The 8,097-nt window shown below is 34.9% G+C and overlaps 1 annotated feature.

Moving 5' to 3' along the window:
* Positions 7,277 to 7,571: a silencer, noted in NCBI's record as "tiled region #7463; K562 Repressive DNase unmatched - State 12:CtcfO". NCBI's record gives its function as "represses a minimal TATA promoter and a strong SV40 promoter by Sharpr-MPRA in K562 cells {active_cell/tissue: K562}" and the evidence as "EXISTENCE:reporter gene assay evidence [ECO:0000049][PMID:27701403]".

Raw genomic sequence — 8,097 nt, forward strand, 5'->3', positions numbered from 1 at the left:
GACAGTTTGTCCTCCAGGTCCATTACGCGCTCACATGTTCTAGTTTGTCTTCATTCTTCTCTGCTTCAGGTCCGGCATTTCTTTCTAACAGCTGACCTGTGGCAACTTAAGATGACCACCAGACAGAATCGGCAGGCTTACAGAAAAGTCTTCATCAGCTGCCTCAGTTGCATAATATCTATTCCCTACAGCAAATCCCTTATTCTATATCACTCATAGTGGTTCTGCTTCCCATATTGATCCTTGACTGATACAGGATCATGTCCAGGGAACAGGACTGCACCCTAGTCAAGGAACTGATGACAAGTCTCTGGTTAAATTTAAGAAATGTTATTGACCAGTGATTACTATATGCCTTGTGTTTTCCCCTTTTGAACAAGAATGACTTTTGTGGTTCTTCTCCAGCTGGCCCACCATTGTGTGTGGGGAATAGATATTCATCTCCTTAAGTCACGTAACTTTATATTAAGAAGAACCACACTTGAGGAACACATGAGGAACCATTTCACATGAGGATCTGATTAGATGATGAGATCCTGGACTTTAAACCTGAGCCTGCTGATGTGAGTGAGATGAAATTCAGAGTTTTGGGAAAGGGATGAGAGGATTTTGCATGTGAAAGGACTTGATGCATTGTGGTCCAGATGGCACACTACCATAGCTAGTCTCCAAGAGTGTCTCCCCATGAACTGCACCTTCACATATTCATGTCCTTGTGTAGTGCCCCCTTTGAATCTTGGCTAGCTCTGTGACTCAATTTTGACTGAGTATAGCCGAAGTGATGCTACAGTGACATGACTTCTGAGTCATGAAGCCGATTCTGCCTTGTTCTCCTGGAAAACTCGCACTGGGGAAGACAGATGCCATGTAAGAATTTTGACTCCTCGGAAACTACAATGCTGTGAGAAAGCTCAATACCTTTCCAGCTCCTCAGAGAAAGTAAAGGAAGCAAACCACGCTCATAATAGAATGGTTCCTTGCTGGGCCTATTCTTGCTGGGAAGTACACCCTAAAGCGTTGTATTCAGCTGCATGGACAGTGTCTTTGTCTCCCTCCTCTCTGTACTGTTTTCTGTATTTTTACTTTCAGTCTCCCTTCACTGCAATTTATTATACACATCATTATTAAATTATCTAACAATTATATTATTTATGTTATCTTACTATTAAATAACTCTTCAAAGAGCCCCATTATACATGAAGATAAAGTCTAAAATCTTTCATCCATCTTTCATCTCTATTTCCATCTGCATTTTCTGCTACCCTATAGAATGAATTTCCCCACTCCATGCCATGGTATCACCACCGTATGGGTTTGCTTACCAGGCCCTCTGAAAAGAAAATTTTCCATCCTTCCATTAACCTATATACCCATCCTTCAATGCCCAACTTAAATCCTACCTCCTGCATGGAGTTTTCTAGTCTCTCTTTCTTCTCTGACTTTCTGTCATACTTTCTAGAGGAATCTTAATTATATTTCTCTACATATTTTACTCCATAATGATGATTATCTTGAGAAAAAATACTATGTGTTATTCCTCTTCATATTTCTCCAAAGAAAAGTACCCATTGGATTGGTAAATTTATTTACTTTTTCTCTTTTCTATTCCTAAATAGTTTAAGAGAAAATGAATTGTTTCAAACCATATTGAAGCAATCATACTGACAGCTTTCAATGAAATTTTTAGTAAAACTATTGCTATTACTGGTATTCACACTCAAGAGGTGACTAAGGAGTAATTATACCTAATCTTTATAAGCATGAAAATCTCCTTTTAATTGAAAATATTATGAAATCCCTTGATGCTAGTGAATGCATTTTGACACAATAAATAACTTATAGCTATTCCACATTCCAAGATACTTTCAAATGAATTCAAATTTTATTAACACAGCAGCATATAAAACATTAAAAATTATATTACAAATCTCTGTGGCATATGCTATTTATTTATTTTTGTTAATAGTTTTTGAAGTAAACATAAATTCTGGAGCAACTTGCAATAACCTCATTTCCCCAGTTTTGCACTCTTCTACTCGCATTTGATATCTCTTAATGGATTTTTTTCAAGAAGCATGACTGTTCTTCTTAATATCACCCTAGAAAAGTTCAGCTTAATTTGGCAACAACCTAGATGCTCAGAAATAGAGAAATTATTATGTAATTATATAAGCTCATCCAATTATTATGAACAAAGGAATATCATGTTAAATATTTAAAATAATGTATAAAAGTTATTTTTGTAATGTTCCATAAAAAGTTGTGTGTATAATATGAACACAGATATTTTTAAAAACTATGTATGGAGAATAAAGATTACATATTAGTTTTTTGACTTCCTTAATGAAGTTTTGGGTAATGTTCTTTTTAAATCTACATTTTTAAATGTTCTATAATGAACATATATTCTGGGTTTACCGAAAACAAAGTAATATATTTAAATTATTTTTTTTAATTCAGAGATATCACTCAAACCTTCTTACTTTGTGGCTCTACCAGTCATTGATAATCTTAGTCCCAGAAACTATTCATTCAGGTCGCCTAAATTACCGTTAAAGAAAATAGGCTTGCTAAACATATTGATTATCTAAGGTAGTATTTTTAAAAGCTATACTATATACAATATATCATGCACTTCACTTCTTATATTTTATGATTTTGTGAACAAGCCTGGATTTCACCTCACCATAGATTTGGCAGGTTTAAGGATTTGATCATATTCCCTCTTAGTTTTTGTGTTTCTAGCCTAAGACATCCAAATTTCTTTAATCGATGTTCATACAGAAACCCCTTGATCATTTCACTTATTTTTCTGCGGAATTCTTCCAGGTCTATTTTCTCTGAGGAGTAGTGACCAAGAGAATATAGAATATTCCAGTTCTTATACAATCACAGGGTGATGTTTTCTGATTTGCTTCCAGTTTTCTCAATGAGAAACACAATTGGTTTAGTGCCTTGGGGAGGAGATTCACGTTATTCCAAAATCAATTTTGAGGTATAATTAACACCATAAGGCCATCAGTTCTGCACTTCTTTTTTTCTTTGAATAGATATCTTACACCTATATATACATTAAAAGTTCACCTGTCATTGTTTTACATTCATAACTGAGAATTCATCATTAAACGTATTCCCCATGAACTGAGTATCTCTTCTAGTCAAAATAGTGGTGTTAAATTCTGTTAGCGATTTTATTATTCAGATAATTTACTAACCTATATATAATTTAAAAGCATTCTTTAGAGGATGTCCCCATTACCATCTTCCAGTTAGGAAAGTGCTTATTTATGCTAACCATTTGTTCCCTGTCTTTAAGTGCTTAAACCACAATAAAAACATTTTTTCCCAATGCCATGTTAATTATTAAAAAAAGTTTCCTCTGACATTTTGTCTTACATGTAATAGTTTATTATTACGGTGTGTATTAAAGTAATCTGACCATGTATTACAGATTCCAACAACTTGTTATGCATCCTACTGAAAGTCATTTTTATACTTTCATACTGAAAGAACTTAAATTCAAAGGACTCAAACTGAGAGATTTTCACTAGTCCCTTACAGTTGCTTATTAGAAAGCCTTTTCCCTCATAACACAGTGTATTCTGAATCTCCGTGATTCTGGAATGAATTACAGTATATTTGGAGGACATTCCTTCTTAATCCTCTTCTTACAGCTGCCTTTTTCTGTTTTATTTTTTCCTTTGGTTTGTTTATATTTTTTCTAAATGATTAAGTATGAAAATTATCCATGATTTACAAAAGACAAAGATGTAAGTATCCATGTGATTATAGATACAGGAAAATAATCAGAATATATTTTTAAGTGAATATACCACAAAATTCCATCAAATCTATGATCGAAATAATTGTAACTCACCTTGTGGCAAGAAAGGAAAGGTCTCAGTTCTATATTTTACTCTTTAAAATTTGAGAAGAGATGCTTGTATTTTTTTAAAAAGTGAACGTTGATCCTTACAGAGCAATTTAAACAAAAATTAACCTCACATGTAACATTAGACCTAAATTTAAAACCAAAAACTATAAAATTTCTGGTAAAACATGAGAAAATCTTTTTGAACTACAATTAGGTGAAGATTTCTTAGGAAACAATACAGGAGAAAACACAAAAGAAAGAACCGATTTTGGACTTCATTAAAATTTAAAACTTCAAAATATACTGTTAAGAAAATTAAAAGACAAGCCTTGGGTTGTGATAAAATACTTGTAAGACACGTATCTGGAAAAGGACTTGTACCTAGAATACATATGAGGATGATTACAACTCAATAATAAGAAAACAACACAACTTTTTTAAATGGGAAAAACATTTTAACAGATACTTCATCAAAGAAATAAGTACATAAAAAGATGCTCACCTCCAATATTTATTAGGGAAATTCAAATTATAATCACAATTAGATATCACTGCTCTCCAGAATGGCTGAGATTTCAAAACACTTATCATACCATATGGTGACTTGGATGTAGGGCACTCTCATACACTGTTAAGGGAAATGCAAAATCATACAGCCACTTTGGAGAACCGTGTGTCAGTTTCTTCTAAAGTCACATATATCTAACTTATCATGTGTTTTAGGATTCTCATTCCTAGGTATTTACTCAAAAGAAATAAAATTATATGCTTCAACAAAGACCTGTGCATAGATATTGTATTAGTCTGCTCAGACTGTTATAACAAAATACCATAGACTGGCCAGCTTAAACAGTAGAATTTTATTTCTAAGAGTTCTGGAGCCTGAGAGCTTCAAGATCAAGGGGCAGGCAAGGTAAGTTTCATTATGAGGCCTCTTCTTTTGCCTTGTAGTTGGCTATCTTCTCAATATGTACTCACATGGTAAAGAGAGAAAGCAAGCTATTGGGTGTCTCTTCCTATAGGGACACTAATCCCATTGTGATGACCCCACCCACAGGACCTCATATAAACTTAATTACCTCCTTAAGGCTCCATTTCCAAAGACCATCGCTTTAGAGATTGGGGCTTCAACATATAAATTTTGGAGATATATAAACATTGAGTCCACAACAGATAATGTATAATAACTCTGTTAAAATAGCCAACAAATGGAAACAACTCAAATATTATTAATTACTGAATGAACAAATTGTGGCATATCTATACAATAAAAGACTGCTTAGCAATAAAAAGAAGTAAATTATTGATACATGCAAAAACATGGGTGAATCTCAAAAAAATAAGCCAGATCCAAAAGGCAACACAGTATGTGATTATATTTACATGACATAGAAAAGTCAAAACTATATTCAGGAATTCAATTGGTAGTTGCTAGGGGACAGGTGTAGAAGAAGGAAACTGACTACAAAGGAGAACAAGGAAACTTTTAGGGGTGAGGAAAATATTCAATTTTTTATTGTGGTAGCAAACAGAGTATACATGACTGAATACATTTATCAAAACCCATCAAACTGTACACTTTAAACTGTGAATTTTACTGTATGTAAAGTATACTTCAACAAACCTGACTTCAGTTCGGAAACCAAAAAGAGAATATGAAAAATTGAAAAGAGTAACAAGAAGCCTAGGAATAACCCCCACAGCCCTAAACCACTCCAGAAAGGCAGATTGGGTAGCATTAGTCCTGAGAGGGTTACTGACTCATTCAACATTCACGTGCCATTTAATCTGTAGTTGTTGGTCATATACAAATGCATGGCCCAATCTCTCAAGAAGCTCAGTGCCTAGTGGAGTAGAATCGCTATATCAGTGCACCCAGAATTCTACAGAAGTGTAAAGTATGATAACAAAAATAACATGCTTGTCTAACATTTCACCTTCCAAAGCTTCCCTCCCCATATTTTGGATGAGGAAAAATCACTGCAATTTAATATTCAAAGATGCTATGGACTGAACTGTGTCCCCCTCAAATTCATATGCTGAAGCCCTTACCTCCAATGTGATGGTATTTGGAAACGGGTCCTTGGGAGGTAAAGTTCAGATGAGGTCATGAAGGAGAGACTGTCATGATGAAATTATGTGTCCCTATTAGAAGGTGTCCCTATTAGAAGTTGTCCCTATTAGAAGGGACACCAGATAGTTTGTTTCCTCTGTTTCTCTCTTCACCATGTGAGCACACAGCAAGAAGAAACCTCAGAATGAAAGCTACCTTGCTGGTACCTTGATCTTAAACTTTCCAGCCTCCAGAGCTGTGAGAAATAAATTTCTGTTGGTTAAGCTACCCAATCTATGCTACAAGGGCCCTCAGCTTTCAGAGTTTCAGTTAACAGTAAGGAGACTTGGAGAGGCACTATAATGATCAAACACCCTAACTCAATGCCAGATCTTCTGTAACTAACACTAAACTACACTAACAAATATATTGGAGTCAGGTCACTTTCTCATTAGAATAGCAGGTTAAAATAGTAAAAATTATAAGTCATGAAATCCTGAACATATTTGATGCAAAGATGTCTGGAAGGGGAAAGAGAGTTGGTAAGAGGGAAGGGAAGAGGGCAGCAACTTTACTATGAATACCACATAAGGCAACCTAACACTTAGGGAAAAAAACATGGGCTTTGGAGAAGAGCCGACGTAGATTCAAATCCTAGCCCTTTCCCTCATAAGCTGTGTGTGATCTTGAGCAAGTTATTTAAACTCTGAAGCTGAGTCTCCTCATCAGTAAAATGGAGATAATAAGCAATTCCTACTTCAGGGGTTGCCGTGAGCATTAAATGAGATACTATATACAAGAAATACTTTACATACAGTAGGTGTTCAACAAATGTTAACAGCCTTACCTCTATAGTGAAGGCTGAACCAAGGCTGAACTTAGAAAGCCAGCTCACTGAAGTACAACTAAACAGCCAAGTGAGCTCTATCAAATAAATATAAACTGGAATCCATTTCTCAGCAGGACCTCATTCAGATAATATTTAAAATAAGTGAATTATTGAAGCTTAAAATCAAAACACAGTCCCTGTCATATTATGTGCAAATAATAAATATTTGTAGTAAAAAGAACTATAGCTAAATGATTTGATTTAAGAGGACTAATGCCTGATGATAGAATGAGAAGCCTCTGTACCAGAAAAGTGAAGAAATGTTTTAAGTTAGGTAAGAATAGAAGAACCTTATCAAAGTACCTCAAATACCACCACCTTATTCTCTACCTTTACTCACCCTACTTATTGATTGATGCCGATTATAACATTTTGAAAAAGGAGAAAGTGGGAAAACCTAAAGACCACTGAGATATTCTATAGAGCAAAAACTTGTTAATTTCTGAAACAGTTGATCTATATAACCAGGAATGGAAATAATACTAAATAATACTTGAAAATATAATTATCATTTTGAATTATTCCTAATAGAGCCTGCATAGAATACACAATCCATAATGACCCAGAGTCCATTAGTCTCAACTAACAGCACAAAGAAATTTCAAATACTCTTTTAACGCTGGTCTTCAGGAGTCCAAAGGCCGTTGTATTAGATTCACTCTGTGAATGGTAAGCACTGACCTCTAGTGGCAAGCATGATTAATCACAGCTCTGTCCTTCAGTGACCCCAGGGAAAACACCCACACCAAGGTAGAGGCTTCCTTACGGAATACAGTTTTGGAGGCTGGCAATGTCAAATGAGATCAAATTTATACCTCTTTAAAAAAAAACCATGAGCACTTCTCCTACCTCCTGATGGAAATCCCAAAGGGGTGATGTGTTGAGTTTGATAGAAATACTCTAAGAAACTGAGAATAAAGACTCTGGCCTTTCTAATATTTAGAATTTGGATGTATGACCTCATGAGCCCACCACACAGACATGAAAAGCAGTGGAGACTCAATGATCATACATATGCCTCTGTTTACTCCTTTATAATATTCCATGAGGAGCTTCTAAAGACACTGGTCAATTAAAAACAGGGCTAGAAACTCCTCTATGCAGAAAAATGATTGACTTTTGGGAAAGTACAGAAAAAACAAAAGACAGTATCCACCCTCAAGTACATCAGAAATTAATAGAGCAGAGAGGATGCAAGTTAATTTGTTTTTCTACCTCTGTAGAAGAATCAAACACTCAAGCAATGGCAAATTTAAAAATACGGGGAAGGAGACAAAAAGC

Source organism: Homo sapiens, chromosome 4, assembly GCF_000001405.40.
Source record: "Homo sapiens chromosome 4, GRCh38.p14 Primary Assembly".
Classification (NCBI taxonomy): domain Eukaryota; kingdom Metazoa; phylum Chordata; class Mammalia; order Primates; family Hominidae; genus Homo; species Homo sapiens.